The sequence below is a fragment of the Homo sapiens genome, chromosome 2, assembly GCF_000001405.40.
Source record: "Homo sapiens chromosome 2, GRCh38.p14 Primary Assembly".
Taxonomy (NCBI): Eukaryota; Metazoa; Chordata; class Mammalia; order Primates; family Hominidae; genus Homo; species Homo sapiens.
The window spans coordinates 19,501,102-19,521,428 of NC_000002.12; the positions used below are offsets into that span (position 1 = coordinate 19,501,102).

The 20,327-nt window shown below is 36.8% G+C and overlaps 1 long non-coding RNA gene across 2 annotated transcripts in view; it reads left to right on the forward strand.

Annotated features, from left to right (window-relative positions):
- Positions 1-20,102, forward strand: part of LINC01808 (long intergenic non-protein coding RNA 1808) — a 52,275-nt gene extending 32,173 nt beyond the window's left edge. The window contains exon 6 of one of the 2 annotated variants that reach the window (NR_183418.1): positions 18,409-20,102. This is a non-coding gene — a long non-coding RNA (long intergenic non-protein coding RNA 1808). Of the gene's footprint in view, positions 1-4,258; positions 4,692-18,408 lie in introns of those variants that run through there. The other variant, NR_183420.1, reaches the window with a different exon arrangement.
- Positions 20,103-20,327: the final 225 nt, after the last annotated feature.

Below are 20,327 nucleotides of genomic sequence, written 5' to 3' on the forward strand. Positions count from 1 at the left end.
TTTAACAATAGAATTATATAAGGTAAATGATAACACTGAGAAATAGTTTTTTATTTACCAGGTAATTTATCAAAGATTGTACACACAGCATCAATATATAAGAGAAATGATTGTCAGCAACTGTATGAGCAATTTTCTCTTTGCCACACAAGTGTTATTTTTATCATCTATTATATATGATGATAATAAGGCTGATCATTAATGATTGCAGAATGTTAAAGAAATTATTGCAATACCTTTGAAATCAGGTCTTGCTATCTGACCTTGAACTCCTGGGCTCAAGCAAGCCTCCGACCTCAGCCTCCTAAGTAGCTGAGATTACAGGCATGCACCAGTGTGCCTGGCTTCTTTTTAATAGCTTTCTGTTATTGATTCTAGTTTAAATCCCTTCTGCAGAAAAAAGTACTTTACGTAATTATATACTTCAGATGTGTCCCCGCCAAAATCTCATATTGAAATGTAATTCCCAGTATTGAAGGTGGGGCTTGGTGGAAGGTGATTGTATTATGGGGGTGCATTTGTCATGAATGGTTTAGCACCATCCTCTTGTGCTGTCCTTGAGACAGTGAGTGAGTTCTTATTAGATCTGGCCCTTTATAAGTGTGTAGCACCTTCCCCTTTGCACTTGCTCCTGCGCCCACCATGTGAGACACCTGCTTCATCTTCTGCCATGATTGTAAGCTTCCCAAGGCCTCCCCAGAAGCAGATGCCAGCATTATGCTTCCTTTACAGCCTGCAGAGCCATGAGCCAATTAAACCTCTTTTCTTTATAAATTACCCAATCTCAAGTATTTCTTCACAGCAATGCAAGAATGGCCTAATACATATAATTTCAGTTCTTTAAAATTTGTTGAGCTTTGTTTGATGGCCCAGAAGATAGTGCTTCTTAATGAATGTTCCATGTGTACTTGAAAAGAATATGTATTCTATTACTGATGGGTGAAGTGTTCTATACATGTCAATTTGCTGAAGTTGGTTGATAGTGCAGTTCATGTCTCCTATATTCTTACAATTTTTTGTGTATTTGTTCTATCAATTCCCGTGTGAGAAGTATTGAAATTTCCATCTATAATTGTGGACTTCTTGCTTCAGTCCTGTAGGTGTTTGCTATTAAGTGCATACACATTATAAAGTGTTTGGATCTTTGGTTTATTGCATTTCATCAATTTTGGAAAAGGCTTGCCCATGATCTCTTCAAATATTTTTTTCTGCTCTCCGGTTTTTTCTCTATCTGGGACTCCAGCTACACATATGTTAGACTTTTGATGTTGCCCCACAATTCTTACCTCTCAGATGCTTTGTCCTCTCTACCACCACCTGTTTTTTTCTCTTGTGTTTAAGCTTAGATAACTTCTATTGTTCTAACTTCTAATTCACTCATTCTTCTTCAGCTGTGACCAACCTGCTTATCGTATCTTTTATGTATGTAGTTTTTATCTCGTTACTGAAATTCTAACTCTATTCTTGCATGTTGTCTACCTTCTCCAGTGGTTAATATCATTAATAAATATCAATCATAAGTATTTTTAAAGGTCAGTGTTCCAGCATCTATATCATCTCTACTGATTTGTCTCTTCACAATGGGTTAGTTTTTAGGGGTTTTATAATTTTTGTAATCAAAAGCCAAACATTATGCTTAGAACAATACTGACTGAGTTTTAAAATATTTGAACACAGAAATGGATGTAGTTCTTTTTCTATCAGGCATTATGGGGAGTTGATTTAATCTAAGTGATCTGGATTTGGGTTTTTTATTACTATAGTTACCTTTGGTGCACTTTGAATAATTCAGTTCACCTTGTTACCCAGTGACCTCTATTGTGGATTCAAGAAAATTATTTTTGTTGTTTTTTACTATTTAGTTTTTCTTATTGGTAGGATAGGAACAGAGTTTTCTTGTGACTTTCTATATCCTAAGCAGAACTGGAATCCTATTCTATTCTATATTATTCTATTCCCTTCTATTTATTCTGCACCATCAAAAAACAAAACACAATAAACAAAACATTGCAGGTAGTGACCACTACATTTAAAATTCATAATCTACTAATTAGTCTTTGCCTGCTGAAAGCCATTAAAGTGGATATAAAGGATTGTTGGAGCCAAGAAATCAAAATTTCCCTCCAGGCCAAACAGTTATTTTAAAACGTTTTCTTTGTATAATTTACTTCTGTATCAGAAACTCTTCTTGTAGTTCTGGGAAAAAAGTGGCCATGAAATTATATAAAATGAATTAAATATATAAGAAAACAGATTTTTAGCTTGATGAAAATAAAAATTTTATGAAGTGCAATCTGTTAGGGCTACTTTACCATCAAATTTTTTTTTGAAACCAGATAACTTTAGCTCTTTTGAAAAATCGGATTCCAATATCAAAGGACAAAATTTACTGCAAATGAGGGCTACACACACAAGTTCCAAAAGTGAATATTTCCTGAAAGCTTCTATTTTGATTGGAATGACACTCAGTGGTGATTGCTTTATGCAACAGTCTCTATTTTGCAATCAAGTCTTATAAAACGAGATTTTCTGCTAAAGACTGAACAAGGTAAGTGGAAGCATAAAGCTGAACCGAAAGTCTGGACACAAGGCAAAGAGTTAGGGTGAGATCTAGAGAGTTGAAAATTATCTGCATATGTGGCCAATTTGTGTCACTGACTTTCCGGAAAATGGCTCTGTAGAGAGACAGGGCTAGAACATATAACAAGTTTAAAAGAAAAAGCCCAAGCTACTCTGTTTGGGTACAGAATTGAAACTAACAATGAAACCAGAGAAAAATGGAAAGATAATACTAGAACTGTATTAGTCCATTCTCACACTGCTATAAAGAAATACTTGAGACTGCGTAACTTATAAAGAAAAGAGGTTTGATTGGTTCAGCATTCTGCAGGCTGTACAGGAAGCATAGTGGCTTCTGCTCAGCTTCTGGGGAGGCCTCAGGAAACTTTCAGTCATGGTGGAAGGCGAAAGGGAAGCAGGCACGTCTTACATGGCCAGAGCAGGAGGAAAAGAGAGGGTGGGAGGTGCCACACACTTTTAAACAGCCAGATCTAGTAAGAACTCTATCACAAGAACAGCACCAAAAGGATGGAAAGGATGGTGCTAAATCATTCATGAAGGATCCACCCTCATGATCTAATCACCTTCTACCAGATCCCATCTCCAACATTGGAGATTACAATTGAACATGAGATGTGGGTGGGGACACAGATCCAATCCAAAAAAAAAAAAAAAAAGAAAAAAGAGGGGGAAAGAAAATATATGAGATCCAAGCAAAAGGTCCAAATAAACAAGTGTTTATAATCAGAGTTCTTGTAAAGCACTCTGATAATTTCATACATTACTATAGCCTTATATTTTAAACATTATCTGGCTCTACTGAAGTCACAGCCCACGGAGTGGGACTGACAAATATACCAGCTATCGGGGTTATGTAAACAACCTTCAGTGCACTCTGTAGCCTAATTTACTGTCATAAACATTGTGGGAAGCAGAAATCTCTATGGCAGCTTGGTGTGGATATTCTCACTGTCAGCAGGGAAAATTCATTGCCTTCTCACAATGCTGAGACTCCAACAGCATTTACCAAGACAGATGACTTGGTGACAGACACACAGGCCGAAAGTTAATATTTAGCTCAGTGAGATGAAACATGAGAACATCAGAATTGTGCCCCTGGGCCAGTCCCTTGATTCTGCAGTCCAACTGACTGTCTCTGATGATGACCCCAAGAGTGAGTCCTGGAGGGCCAGCATGTCACATTCAGTATCAGCCTCAGAGGTCAGGGAAAGGTTCGATCACTCTGGCTTCCCTTAATAATCCATGCTATACCTATCATCTCCGAATGGATTGTAAGCACTTTGCAATCTACTTGTATTTTAGCCAGTACCACCTTTGAGGCTAAATGAGTTCCAGAAGTGTATTTACCTCCCTCTGCTGAAATAATACACACCTTACATTTATTCTAAACTTGCCATTCTTGAATATTCAATATTTGCATTTGTTAAACAAGCCTCAACTTATCCTCTCCATTCAATCATGACTTGGTAAACTTTGATTCTGTCCAAACACAGTCTTATCTTTCTCAATGAAAGGTCTTTTGTTTGGGACTGTATTTATATAGCTATCTCTTCTCCCACAACTTCCTCAATCTGTTAAATTGTCTTTCTGGATTAAAAAAAAAACAACACAGATCTTGATGATATAAGGTACCGTGCTCTCGGCCACAGCTCTCTTACCCTTTTTTATTTCTCTCTAGAATTGAAATTGAGTAACGTTTAACAGAAGGTGTCTGATTACAACAATGCCCTGGCTGTGAAGAGAACAAATTCAGAACTTTCTCCTAAGGAGAGAAGGAGCAAACTGTTACTCTCTTGTCAAATCCAGTTTTCTTTTAATCTCTGATAATGTTTCACATTGAACCAATGCCTTTAATATGACTTAGTGCTTTAGGAAAATAGTATCACCTCAGGATATTTAGGTAACTAAACCAGCAGATCCAATAAGTGTTATCTTTCAGAGTCAGCCTTCTGAAGGAGGCTAGATGCACATGTGAATGACTTTGCCATAGCACAGAATGCGTCTGGATCATACTTCTGGAAATTCCTCTGGAACCACTGTGTAAATGAAGCTATCAGGAAATCTCATTGCTTTGTAATCATGCTTTACTTTTGACTAAAAAGTAAAAACACCGAGAGTTCAGAGTTCATTTTTCAGACTTGTTTCCAAATGAATTGACCTTTTGTAAAAATCCATGTTCAAAGTAAGTCACCATTGAGGGTTAGCCTTTCTTTCCAACCTTACCATAACCATCTCTATCAGCAACTATTCCTGGAAACCTACAGGAAGTAGGCTCTGTGCTGCAAAGAGATAGAGCAATCCATTAAATATGGTTCCTACTCTTAAAGAGATTACAGCCCAGGTGGAAGCAAAACACAGGTGTAATATGAAAAGCACTAGATGAAGTATAAGGTATGTGAGGCTTGAGAGGAGTCTGAGCTGAAACAGCCTTAGGAGAAGTCCTAATGAGGAATGGGACTTGTGCTCAGCACAAACGGACTGGGAAAGCTGAACGTGTATGGATATCCTTCACAGGCTGACTAATCACACAAAGTGCAATGACTAGTTTGACTAAAAGTAATGAGAGTGGGACATGAACTCCACTACTGACTTAAACCTTGCTTTAAACAAGTTATTTAACCTCTTGAGTTCTCTAATTTCTTATGGTACCTGCACTACTCGTTCAAAATGGCAGACTGAACACATGCGTTGACTTCCTTCCTTCCCCCAACCCACCTAAATGACAAAAAGCAGCGGCATGCAGTTATTTGACACCCAGATGCATCATCTTTTAATACTCCCTTTTTATGACAAAATTGCTTTCAGTACTAATCGTTATTTCATTAATTTGTTTCACAGTTTGAAACAAAGGTTTACTTTGTATACAAAAATTTTCATTTAAAAATACTTAGTGAAATAAATCATGTATGAACTAAAATTAGTACTTACCACAAAAATATTACAGCTATTTGGTCTGTTGATCATTGTTTTCAATTTAAACACAAATAAAACTCAAAATTATCAGATAAAATGAGATAATGGAAGTAATTCAAGTTCTGTTTCTTCTTTATCATCACTGCACTGTCATTGTTCATTTCAAATCTACTCTTTTCAACGCAAGCATAGGTAGCACCATAGGGATTGGAGATACAAATGCTTCCGAAAGTGAGCTTGAATGCTTCCAAATCTTTAAGAACTTACTCTTGAGACAAACATAGGTAGCTGAATCCCTTTGTGTTGAAGTCAATTATGTAACTGGAAGATTTCCAAGTTAGCCTCTCTGTAGAATCCAATGTTTGTTACAGAACAAGCAGTAAAAATTACGCTTATTTGTGTTGGGGTCAACCGTGTAACTGGGAAATTTCCAAATTAGCTTCACTGTAGAATTCAGTGTTGTTAAAGAATAAGCAGGCAGTAAAAACTGTGGTTTTTTTCTGATACACATATATATTATTAAAACTCTACAGTAACCAAAGCAATTATTTAGAACTTAGATCAAAGAAAGTGGGTTTTTTGGTCGGGGGATTGGAGGAGGCCAGTTATCACTGACCTTGGTGATTATAAAAACCAGACTTCCTTTCAGTTGGTTTTATTATTGTGTTTAAATTCTCTACCAGCAATACATCTCCTGTTGCTTGCACCCAGAGCTTTCCAGCTGCCCCATCTTTAGTATGCTATCACAGTAAAGTGCACAAGGATATAAAGCCATAAAAAAGCACCAAGAATGGGAGTTACAGCCATTTAGAAAATCTTGAACAACAGGCTTATACTGCCTACTAACACTGGATGCAGGAGGAGGCTCCAGCTCAGGAGGAAGACCACCACATAAGTTTTTCCCGTATAATATTTTGGAATAAGCAATGTAGAGAGCATGGGAGAAGGGGCAGAAATTGAGATGATGAGTAAAGAGCCACCTGTGGAATTCTGCTGGGTCAGGAGATAATCCCTTCTCCACTCTCTCTGCCCCGTGCCACAGCAGTGTCTTCCCCCATGAAGGCCTGGGAGATGCTCCCAAAGGAATTAAGCAACCTGCTTGGGAATAATTTGCACCTACATGAAAGTTGGTCCCTCAAAGCTGGCTCTCTTCGTTGTGGCCCAGCAAAGGGAGAGACAGGGCAGCTTGACTGAGGTGAAGCCTGGCAGTCAGCACACCCCGAATTCAAACTGCTGTCTCCCTGTGGAGGGGCACCTGAAGCAACAGAGGAAACCACGTCATCTGCCTTTACTAATCAACAGTCTTTCGTGCTTAAATATGAATTACAATCAAGGCTCCTGGAAAACTTGCAGAGAGCCAGCTGTTCAGAGAAGAAGGAATAGGATGGAAGAAAGAACTGAGAAGCAAACATTGGGTACCCTAGAAAAGAGAAACAAACATCAAGAGAATTCTAATTAATAGCGTCCAAGAGCTGTAAGAAGAGTGGGCATCCAGAAAACAAGAACAGGTGACTAAAAAAATACATAGTAAAAGAAAAGGAAAGAGTTCATAGAAATAAAAACATTATTTAATAGAAGGGCCACAAGAAGTTCAGGAAAGCTTTCAGAATATAAAAAAAAGAGAGAGAAAATAAAATGTAAGGGATAATTATACATTTAACATGTACATGTTTTATTTTTCTCAAAATATCCGATATTACATCAAATAATTAATAGCATTAATATTCATGAATGACAGATTAGAATCTAAGAAGTAAAGTATTACAGTCTGATTCTCCAGATGTCTATACCTTATCACAGAATCAGAGAACATCAGTGGTTAAAAAAAAAGGTGGAAATCATCTCAGTAGTTTTCAAAGAGTATTCCACTAAGACCTAAGATTTGGTAAAATTTTATCAGCAGGTTTTAAGGGAAGCTGAGCAGACAAAGCCCCACACCCTTGTGTATAATTTAACCAGGTGATTTCTGTTTCGTGTTTTTGTACTGGGGTTCTATGTACAACCTCACTTATAAAGGAGTTATTTACTAGAGAACTAGGCTGCGCATGCAGAGCTAATATGAATGTGGTCTCATTTAGACTATACTTTTAAACTATATGCTCATCATTCATGTAGAAATACTGAAAGCTGCATGAGGGGACAGAAAAATAGGGCTGTTAGAGCCTCAGCCTCCCCTCTATTATGCCAGGCATCTTGGATGGAACCCAAACTTGCCGTTTTACAGAATAAAAACTCTGTGGTAAACCAGCTTCCCCCTCCGTAGAAGAGTTTATCCTCCATCTGTTCTTTCTTAAGCATTCTCCTTGGAAATCTCACCCAATATCCCAAACGGCTTACTCTAAGATCACAGGCAGTACCCTTCCTGAGTGAGGTTCTGATAAATTGTGTTCTCTCCATCTTATTATATTTCCATTGCTGTTTTTACACCTCATTCAGATTGATATCATGAGCAGCTACTTAGTGGCCAGCCCCATGATCTGGCTCAGTGTGTTCAACATAAATGTTTGATAATCACAAATCGGAATCAGATCTCTTGCTTACAATTGTGGAAAAGGAGACCTGGAAGACAAAATGACTTAACCAAAGTTACAGACTTTCCTGTTATATTTGACGTTGCTGTTATGCTTTCTTACAGTTTCACTTGGCTACGTTTTTTCTTCTTAAATGGATGTCAGCTACCTTGGTTAAGGATCGTCAGCTTAGATTCTTTTTCTAACTCTCACAGCATGGTGTTAAGAATAAAACAAGTGACCAATAAGTACTTGTTGATAAATTCTTTTAAAATAGTTTTTAAAAAGAAAATAAGTGTCCACTTTCAAGTAGGAGGCAGTAGAATGTAATAGCTCAACATTTCTGCTGCAATGATTAAGGGAAAAATTGACAAAGATTTAAAGATAATATTTTTAGAGGCATCAGACAACTATAGAAGCAAAAATGGCTAAATTGCCTAAATTTCCAAAGAAGAAAATGTCCTTTTTACAGAAAGTGGGCAAATGCTGGTCATTTTCTACCTTAGCAGCATTTGCCAATCATGGGAGCTAGCCAAGGTAGAGGTACTTTACCAAAGGGGGGAAAAAACCCCTCAGAGTTTTGATAGTCATGCTGACAATGTTGAAGGATTGGAATCCTAGTCAAGCCCCAAACATACAACTGATTTTCCCCATGGGACATCTGCAGAAGTTTGGGAAAGTGCAAATGGCTGGTAACAGAAATTAAAAAGTGATTGCCTCTGTTGGCAAGTTTTAAGGGAGGAGATTGATTGGAAAGGGATATGAGATAACTTTGGATGGTGAAGAATATATTATGTCACTTGTTTTGAGAAGAAGTTGCACAGATGTACCTAATTGCCAAAACTCATCCAACTATCATTTGAGATCTGTGCACTTTATTTATGAAAATTATATCTTCATTAAATATGTAAATATAGTAAGAAGGGGAATACTGGGTCAGCAATTGCAAGATTATCCTCAGAGTTCTGGACAAGGGATAAAGTCTGGGAATATCTGCAGTTCCTTAATTTTTGTCCCATCATACACTCATCACATAGCACTTTGTATTTTAGCTATTTTTTTCTATGGATTAATCCTATTTTCCTATGTGCATTCTTTGAAGCAAAAAAGTCTAATAATTAAAAGTGTTGCTGAGGATGTGAAACAACTGGAACTCTCCTTATTGTTAGTAAGAGTTTAAATTAGTACAATCACTTTGGAGAACACTGCGGTAGTATCTACTAAAACTAAACATATGCGCACCTTATGATCCATAAATTCCATTCCTAGTTATATATGCAAGAGAAATAAACATATATAACCACCAAAAGTCATATAATAGAATGTTCATAGGTGATTTATTTATAATAACCAAAAATATAAAAATAACTAACCACTAACAATAACACAGAAAAATAAGTAGCAATATTTTGTAGCAGATTGTAAAGAAATAACAGCAATATAAAGAACAAGCTACACATTATGACATTAATTAATTTCAGAAATACTAGGTTTAGCAAAAGAAGCAGGATAAAATAGAATAGAGGTATTGATTTGGAAGAGGCACAAGGGAGCCTCCCAGAGGGCTGAAATGTTCTATATCTTGCATATCTTGATCAGTAGTATGTGTACCCCCGACACACACACATATGTATCTCCACCAAATGAATACTTAAGATACGTGAACTACACTGAAAAGTGTAAAAAGAAAAGAAATAGAGGAAAAGATAAAATAATTGTGATAAAAGACAAAATAGTCTTGCATATATAACTGTTGGAGAAACTGGTTATCTCTTGTGAAGAAACTAGAGCTTCTCTCAGGATAATGGATAATAATGGTGATAAGATGTATTCAAAGTCCTAGAGCGTTAGTAGAGTAGTACATAACCAATTATATAGTGAGAAAATATGCCTCTGGTAATAGTCGTATTGCCATAATAAAGAGATTTGTAGGAACGAACCCATACTATGAAAACATAACATTTATATAGCACCAAATTACCTGAAAGTCTATTTGTCTCTCTCCTTGCATATTCACCTCCATTCACTCTTTTGCTGCTTTTTTTAATTTTTAATTTTTTTATTTCAATAGGTTTTTGGGGAACAGGTTGTGTTTGGTTACATGAATAAGTTCTTTAGTGGTGATTTCTGATATTTTGATGCACCCATCACCTGAGTAGTATATACTGTACCCAATGTGTAGTCTTTTATCCCTTGCCACCCCCCCACCCTTTCCCCTAAGTCCCCAAAGTACAATGTATCATTCTTATGCCTTTGTGTCCTCATGGCTTAGCTCCCACATATGCATGAGAACGTACGATGTTTGGTTTCCATTCCTCAGTTACTTCACTTAGAATAACAGTCTCCAGTTCCATCCAGGTTGCTGCAGATTATTTTGTTCTTTTTATGGATGAGTAGTATTCTCATCACATTTTCTTTATCCGCACATTGATTGATGGGACATTTGGGCTGGTTCCATATTTTTGCAATTGCAAATTTTGATGTTGTAAACATGCATGTACAAGTATCTTTTTTGTATAATTACTTCTTTTCCTCTGGGAAAATATCTAGTAGTGGGGTTGCTGGATTAAACGGTAGATCTACTTTTAGTTCTTAAAGAAATTCCACACTGTTTTCCATAGTGATTGTACTAGTTTACTTTCCCATCAACAGTGTAAAAGTGTTCCCTTTTCACCACATCCACACCAACATCTATTATTTTTTTGATTTTTTGATTATGGCCATTCCTGCAGGAGTAAAGTGGTATTGCATTGTGGTTTTGATTTGCATTTCCCTGATCATTAGTGATGCTGAGCATTTTTCCATATGCTTGTTGGCCATTTGTATATCTTCTTCTGAGAATTGCCTATTCATGTCCTTAGCCCACTTTTTTATGGGATTGGTTTTTCCTTGCTGATTTGAGTTATTTGTAGATTCTGGATATTAGTCCCTTGTCAGATGAATAGAATGTGAAGATTTTCTCCCACTCTGTAGGTTGTCTGTTTATTCTATTGATTATTTCTTTTGCTGTGGAGAAGTTTTTTAGTTTAATTAAGTCCCATCTATTTATCTTCGTTTTTGTAACATTTGCTGTTGGGTTCTTGGTCATGAAGTCTTTGCCTAAGCCAATGTCTAGAAAGGCTTTCATGATGTTATTTTCTAGAATCTTTATGACTTCAGGTCTTAGATTTAAGTCTTTGAACCATTTTGAGTTGATTTTTGTATAGGGTGAGAGATGAGGATCCAGTTTCATTCTTCTACATGTGGCTTGCCAATTATCCCAGCAACATTTGTTGAATAGCGTGTCCTGTCCCCATTTTATTTTTTTATTTTGTTCGCTTTGTCAAAGATCAGTTGGCTGTAAGAATTTGACTTTTATTTCTGGGTTTTCTATTCTGTTCCATTGGTCTATATGCCTATTTTTATACTGGTACCATGCTGTTTTTATAACTATGGCCTTATAGTATAGTTTGAAGTCGGGTAATGTGAGGCTCCAGATTTGTTCTTTTTGCTTAGTCTTGCTTTGGCTATGTGAGCTCTTTTTTGGTTCCATAAAAGTTTTAGAATTTTTTTTCTAGCTCTGTGAACAATGATAATGGTATTTTGATGGGAATTGCATCGAATTTATAGATTGCTTTTGGAAGTATGGTCATTTTCACAACAGTGACTCTACCCATCCATGAGCAACGGATGTGTTTCCATTTGTTTGTGTCATCTATGATTTCTTTCAGGAGTGTTTTGTAGTTTTTCTTGTAGAGATCTTTCACCTCCTTGATTATATGTATTCCTAAGTATTTTTTTCCAGCTATGGTAAAAGGGGTTGCATTCTTGATTTCATTCTCAGCTTGCTCACTGTTGGTGTATAGCAGAGCTACTGATTTGTATTAATTTCGTATCCTGAAACTTTGCTGACTTCATTTCCCAGTTCTAGGAGCTTTTTGGATGAGTATTTAGGGTTTTCTATGTATACAGTCATATCATCAACAAACAGCAACAGTTTGATTTCCTCTTTACTGATTTGGATGCCCTTTATTTCTTTCTCTTGTCTGATTGCTCTGGCTAAAACTTCCAGTACTATGTTGGATGGAAGTGGTGAAAGTGGGCATCCTTGTCTTGTTCCAGTTCTCAGTGGGAATGCTTTCAACTTTTCCCCATTTAGTATAATGCTGGCTGTGGGTTTGTCATAGATGGCTTTTATTACCTTAAGGTATGTCTCTTCTATGCTGATTTTGCAAGGGTTTTAATCATAAAGTGATGCTGGATTTTGTCAAATGTTTTTTCTGCATCTATTGAGAAAACTATGTGATTCTTATTTTTAATTCTGTTTATGTGGTATATCACATTTATTGACTTACATATGTTAAACTATCCCTGCATCCCTGGTATGAAACCCACTTGATAATGGTGAATTATCTTTTTGTTATGCTGTTGGATTCAGTTAGCTAGTATTTTGTGGAGGATTTTTGCATCTATGTTCATCAAAGATATTGGTCTGTGGTTTTCTTTTCTTGTTATGTCCTTCTCTCATTTTGGTATTAGGGTGATACTGGCTTCATAGAATGATTGAGGGAGAATTCCCTCTTTCTCTCTTTGAATAGTGTCAATAGCATTGGTACAAATTGTTCTTTGAATGTCTGATAGAATTCAGCTGTGAATCTGTCTAGTCCTGGACTTTTATTCGTTGGCAATTTTTAAATTACTATTTCAATCTCACTATTCGTTATTGGTCTGTCCAGAGATTCTACTTAGTACATCTTCTTGTTTTAATTTAGGAGGGTTGTATATTTCCAGAAATTTATCCATCTCCTCTAGGTTTTTTAGTTTATGTGCATAAAGGTATTCATAGCAGCCTTGAATAATCTTTTGGATTTCTGTGGTATCAGTTGTAATAGCTCTCATTTTGTTTCTATTTGAGCTTATTTGGATCTTCTCTCTTCTTTTCTTGGTTAATCTCACTATTGGTCTATCAATTTTGTTTATCTTTTCAAAGAACCAGCTTTTTGTTTCATTTATCTTTTGTATTTTTTGTTTGTTTGTTTGTTTCCATTTCATTTAGTTCTGCTCTGATCTTTGTTATTTGTTTTCTTCTCCTGGGTTTGGGTTTGGATAGTTCTTGTTTCTTCAGTTCCATGAGGTGTGACCTCAGATTGTCTATTTGTGCTCTTTCAGACTTTTTGATGTAGGCATTTAGTGCTATGAACTTTCCTCTTATCACTGTTTTTTCTGTATCCCAGAGGTTTTGATAGATTGTATCACTATTATTGTTCAGTTCAAAGAATTTTTTAATTTTCGTCTTGATTTCATTGTTGACCCAATGATCATTCAGGAGCAGGTTATTTAATTTCCATGTATTTTCGTGGTTTTGAGGCTTCCTTTTAGAGTTGATTCCCAATTTTATTCCAGTTTTGTCTGAAAGAGTATTTGATATAATTTTGATTTTCCTTTTTTTTTTTTTTTTTTTTCCGAGACAGAGTTTCACTCTTGTTGCTCAGGCTGGAGTGCAACGGTATGATCTCAGCCCCCTGCAACCTCTGCCTCCCTGGTTCAAGTGATTCTCCTGCCTCAGCCTCCCAAGTAGCTGGGATTACAGGCATGTGCCACCATGCCCAGCTAATTTTTGTGTTTTTAGTTGAGATGAGGTTTTGCCATGCTGGCCAGGCTGGTCTTGAACTCCTGACCTCAGGTGACCCAGTCACCTCAGCTTCCCAAAGTGCTGGGATTATAGGCGTGAGCCACTGCACCGGCCATAATTTTGATTTTCTTAAATTTACTGAGACTCATTCTGTGGCCTATCATATGGTCTGTGTTGGAGGACATTCCATGTGCTAATGAATAGAATGTATATTCTTCAGTTGTTTGGTAGAATGTTCTGTAAATATCTGTTAAGTCCATTTGTTGTAGGGTATAGTTTAAGTCCATTTTTTTTTTTGCTGACTTTCTGTCTTGATGACCTGTTTAGTGCTGTCAGTGGAGTATTGAAGTCCCCCACTATTATTGTGTTGCCATCTATCTCATTTTTTTTAGGTCTAGTAGTAATTGTTTTATAAATTTGGGAGCTTCAGTGTTAGGTGCATATATATATAATTATAATATTTTCCTGTTTGACTAGTTCTTTTATTATTGCATAGTGTCCCCCTTTGTCTTTTTTAACTGCTGTTGCTTTAAAGTTTGTTTTATCTGGTATAAGAATAGCTACAACTCACTTTTCATGTTCATTTGCATAGAATAGCTTTTTCCACCCCTTTACCTTAAGTGAATGTTAGTCCTTATATTTTAGGTGAGTCTCCTGAAGACAACAGAAACTTGGCTGGTGAATTTTTATCCATTCTGCCATTCTGTATCTTTTAAGTGGAGCATTTAGGCCATTTACATTCAATATTAGCATTGAAATGTGAAGTACTATTCTATCCATCATGCTATTTGTGGCCTGAATACATTTTTTTTCATTGTGTTATTTTCATATAGATCCTGTGAGATTTATGCTTTAAGGATGTTCTATTTTGATGTATTTCAAGGATTTATTTCAAGATTTGGAGCTCCTTTTAGCAGTTCTTACAGTACTGGCTTGGTAGTGGTGAATTCTCTCAGAATTTTTTTGTCTGAAAAAGACTGTATCTTTCCTTCATTTATGAAGCTTAGTTTCACTGGATACAAAGTTCTTGGCTGATAATTATTTTATTTAAGGAGGCTAAAAATAGGTACCTAATCACTTCTAGCTTGTAGGGTTTCTGCTGAGAAATCTGCTGTTAATCTGACAGCAGATTTCCTTTATAGATTACCTGATGCTTTTGCCTCATAGTTCTTAAGACTCTTTCCTTTGTCTTGACTTTAAGTAACTTGATGACTATGTGCCTAGGTGATGATCTTTTTGTGATAAGTTTCCCAGGTGTTCTTTGAGCTTCTTGTATTTGGATGTCTAGATCTCTAGCAAAGCCAGGAAGTTTTCCTCAATTATTCCCTCAAATATGTTTTCTAAACTTAGATTTCTCTTCTTCCTCAGGGATACCAATTATTCTTAGGTTTGGACGTTTAACATAATTCCAGACTTCTTGAAGGCTTTGTTCATTTTTTTTTTCATGCTTTTTTCATTGTCTTTGACAGATTGGGTTAATTCAAAAGCCTTGTCTTCAAGCTCTGAAGTTCTTTCTTCCACTAGTTCAATTCTATCACTGATACTTTCCAGTGCATTTTGCATTTCTCTAAGTGTATCCTTGATTTCCAGAAGTTGTGATTGTTTTTTATTTATGCTATCTATTTCACTGAAGTCTGCAGTGGTGATCCAGTTTCTTCAAAGGGTCTGTGGATTCTCTTGGCTTTCCTGGTATGTTCCTGTGGTAGTTCTTGGAGCAAAAGTTCACAGTGTGAGTCTTCACATACTTCTCTGTCCATGCGAGCAGGAGCTGCAAGCTAGTTCTGCCTCATATATGCCATCTTAATCCTCCATTCACTTTTTAACCCATTTTGAGCTGATGTTTTCTCAGTCACTACAGTGGCATTGGTTACGCTGAGTAATTAATAACCTCATCAATTACCTCTGAGTTTTCATTCCTGTATTTTTTAATGGATTTTGCTGAGTGCCTACTATGTATTAAGTACCATAGGAGGTGTTCGGGATAAGATAAATAGGTCCTGGTTGTCACAGAATGTATACACTGAAGGCATATGACACACTGGTGAGAGCAAGTTCCAGCAGCCAGGATGGCTAGGTTTGAATCCCACTCTTCACCTTACTTGTTATGTGACCTTGTGAAAACTGCATGATTTTTTTTTCCCTTAATTTCTTCTGCTTAGAAATGGAGATAACAATACTATTGTTAGTTGTCTGTTGTTGGCTTTGCGCCATTACCACCAGGCCCTTTTAAGGCTGAGAACTGACTTCCCAGAACCCCCTTCTCTGGATAGTTCCATACTAGAATTTCCCATTACAAGAAACTCATGTGAATTTAGAAGACAGAAGGAAATCAAAGGCCTGTTCTCAGAAGTTCATGGCAGTCAGACACAACAGGATTCCAGATCTCTCTACAAGCTCTCACTTTGTGATTAAGACTTTTCCCTGATATGCCCACGATCAGTGGATTTCTCCCTGCTCTCCACTGCTTCTGCCACTGCCTCCAAATCTTCACTTCTCCAGATCCTCCCACATAAAACTCCTATATTAATTCCATTTTCCCATAGTAGCTTCATTTTCCTGAAAGAACCCAGATGGATACAGGTACCTACATGATAGTATCACTGAGATGATTGAGTTAATACATGAAATAGCACTTAACACAGCGTTTGGCACAAGGCAAGGACTGTCTTATTCCTATTATGATACGTGATATCAAGGAAATAAAATATAAAGCAATAGGGTGATGAAGACAGAGTAGTGGAGGGATAGAGTGGTCAGGGAAGATTACTCTGAGCATATGATATTTGAATAGAGTCATGAAAAATAAGAATGGAAAAGCCATGCTAACATTTGGGGAAAGGAAAGAGCAAGCAAAGAGGTTGCTGCATCTTAGGAAGAGAACAAAGGACAATGGAGACTAAAGAAGGAAGTGTCATGAGATGGGTTAGAGAGAGATCATCTCATGGATGACAGATTTGGGAGGTTCTTGTAGGTCATGATAGAATATAGATTTTTTTCCCTGCTTATAAGGGGAGGTGATTAAAAGTTTATAAGCAGATAAGTGGCATGATATAATTTGTTTTAACTAGGGTCTTCTGGTTGTAATTTAAGATTAGAATAGAAGCAAGAGAACAGTTAAGTGGCTGTCACAGTAGAGAGTTGGTGGTTTGGGCTCGGAAGATGAAGATGGCAATGGAGAACCACAGAGACACAAGTTTCAGGGAAGTTGTTAGCAGGGTAGGCTGACGGTTGGATATGCGGAGTAGCAGAAAGCCTTTCCTCCACGTTCGTCAAGAGTTTAACTCCCTAGATCTCCAGGACATTGCCTTCTCCTAGTTTTCCTTCTGTTTTCCAGATTTCTTCTTCCCTTGCTCTCATTCTTCTATTATTCCCTAAATACGTTCCTTTGCCCCTTCTTTCCCCTACCCATTCCTTTGTACTCTCCACAGTGCTTCGTTCTTTTTTCCCTTCCTTTTTATCTTTACACCGGGTGCTTGGAATAGGGAAAACACTTCTTTCCCTGCCGCAATTCACAGACTTCTATCCCTATCTCAGACCACTCTCCTGATAACTAGATTCAATTACCAATTAGACATCGCTGTTTGGTCCCACAAGTGCTTCAGATTCAACATATGCTAAACTGAACTAGGTCTTCTCCTAAACCTTCTCCTGTGTTCCCTCTGTTGTTTAACAACACTACTAAGCATCCAATCATCCAAGCCAGAAAACTGGGGGCCATCCTAAAATTTTTTTCTCACCTCTCAATATCTAATCAGTCACAAAGTCCAATCAACATTATCTCCTCAATACTTCCCACATCTTTCCCCAGCATCCATCTTCATTGTTACTTCCTTAATTACAGGCATCCTCTTCCTTTTAAATATCCCAACTGATTTCTCTCTTTCAGTTTTATTTCTTCAAATGTGGCCTCTACCCTGCCTCTTGAGTGGTCTATGTATTACTCCATTCTTACTTTTCCTCTTCTTGAAACTTCCATTTGTTCCATTGCCTCTGGGATAAAACACAAGTTGCTCACATGGAGTACCAGACAGTCTGTGATCTCTACCTGGCTTGTAGCATTCACCTCATCTCCCATGACAGCTACACTGAATTATTTAAGTTCTCCAAATTTTTCTTATTGTTCTATGCCAGCTCAAGCCTTTCCTCCACTAAGAAGTCTTCTCTCATTCTCACAGTTATGTCAGTCTTCTTCATTTCAAAACTTTACTGTGTACATTTCTGTTACATACTACTAGTTTTATACTGTACAATAGCTAATTGTTTGATTATTGCCATCATTCACTTTTATTCCCGTTTCACAGCTCCTATTCTGCCTGTATTCCCTGTATACACAACCATTCTAATGTGTTTGTATGTGCTTTGACAAAATGTGATTCTTCTGTTTTATGTTTATTTTTAATTTATGTAAATGGTATTGTGTTACATTTCACTGTTTCCTTTTAAAATTAATCATATGTCTTTCAATGCATCCATGTTGCTATGTGGCAGCTAGCACATTGCTCCTAAGAGGTTACTCATAATATTACAAGGTGAACACACCCACCATATTTTATCTACATATTCTTCAAGCTATGCACAACCAGAACGCCTTCTGCTCCCAGCCACCAAAACTAAGGCAGCAATGAACATACTTGTCAATGTCTCTCTTTTGTAAATTGATGCAATTTGGTCTACTAAGAGAACATATACACGAGAAAGCTGATTAAAAAGTCTCATTTTTCAAATCAAATCCGCCATCTTTTTCTTCATGCTAATTAATAAATTGTATGCTTGATGTATCCATCTTTTTTTTAGGTTAGCGTGTTAAGTCTCTGAAGCTGATTAACGGCTTAACTCAAGTTTTCGCACCTGCAGACCAGTGACCCCCCACCGCCGCCCCCCCGCAAGGCATCTGTTTGACGTCTCTTTAATTTTATTAGTGGCTTATGGACAAAATCACTTGACTTAACCTTTTTCAAGTGTAAGTTATTTGGATTCACAAGAGCATTTTTCTCCCTGTTATAAATCAATGAACCCAGTTAAGATTAACTGCCTACATGTGAGCTTCAAAAGATCTTCTATGGCCAGGCAAAGTTGAAAGAAACACATAATTCCATAACATGCTAAACACAAGTTGATCAAAGTTTTTGGAGCTGGTTACTTAATGCTGTACTTCCTCATTCTCAAACAATCTGATTTCAAGTAGTTTGTGTCTAAAACATATATTACTAGACTGCAAACATTCATCCTTTGGAAGAAAAATCATTTCTGTATCTTAACTGGTCAAAATCTATGTTTCAACAGACCTAAACTAAACTCTGGGCTAAACATTCCTGAACCTAATTTGTGAAATTCCATAATGTTTGGAGATTAAAGCAAAAAGAAATGAAAATAAAAGAAACATAGCTAATGATTCATTTTAAACATGAAAACTTCCTATATAGAATAATCATGGAATCCTGGAAGCAAAAGGAATCATAGGCCTTAGATATTAAACAGTGTGTTGGGGGAGGGGCATTGTTCAAGTCCTTGGAATTCTGAGGAAATGTCATGGGTGGGGGCAGTCATTGCAGGGGATGGGGGAGTTGAGGAGACCAATAAGGTAGGGTACAACCAAACAGTCTTCCTTTTACACATACATATTTTAAATTTTATGCTTTCATGTAAGAGATCATTTGAAAAAATTACACTACTTGAAAATAAATTGAAAGTCTCTGACCTAGTCCAGTATTTCACACAAATCAGTATCTTCTATGACAATCTTGACAGGCAGTAATCCAATATCTGTTTGCACACTGCTGTCATTGTGAGTTCACTGTCCTGAAGCAGCTCATTTCCATATCAGATGTCTCAAGTTCTTGGGATGCTTATTTCTTCTAGAGTGCCATATTTAACCCCCTGTAACTTCTATGGCCTACTTATCTTCTCTGAAATAATACAGACTTTCTATCTGTTACCTCCCTCCCTTATGTGTTCTTTCACAAATGGATAAACTGTGAATGCTGTTTTGTGTAGGCTAACCAATCTCAGTTCCTCAAATATATACCTTTTGAATTGGAAGAATCAATATCATTAAAATGACCATACCACCCAAAACAATGTATAGATTCAATGCTACTCTTATCAAATTACCAATGTCATTCTTCATAGAATTAGAAAAAATTAGTCTAAAATTCATACGGAGCATAAAAAGAACCCTAACAGCCAAAGCAATCTTAAGCAAAAAGACCAAAGCTGGAGGCATCACACCACCTGACTTCAAACTATAATAACCAACACAGCATGGTACTGGCACAAAAGCAGAGACATAGACCAACGGATCAGAATAGAAAACTCAAAAGTAAAGCAGCACACTCACAGCCATCTGATCTTCGACAAAGCCCACAAAAACAAGCAATGGGGAAATGACTCCCTAGTCAATAAATGGTCCTGGTGTAACTGGCTAGCCATTTGCAAAAGAATGAAGCTGGACCTTTACCTTTCACCATATAAAAAAATAATTCTAAAGGTTTAAATGTAAGACCTCAAACTATAAAAATCCTAGAAGAAAACCTAGGAAATACCCTTCTCAACATCAGCCTTGGCAACGGATTTTGGCTAAGTCTCCAAAAGCAATTGCAACAAAATCAAAAATCGATGTGGGACTTACTTGAACTAAAGAGCTTCTGCACAGCAAAATAAACTATCAATAGAGTAAACATACAACATAAAGAATGAGAGAAAATATTCACAAG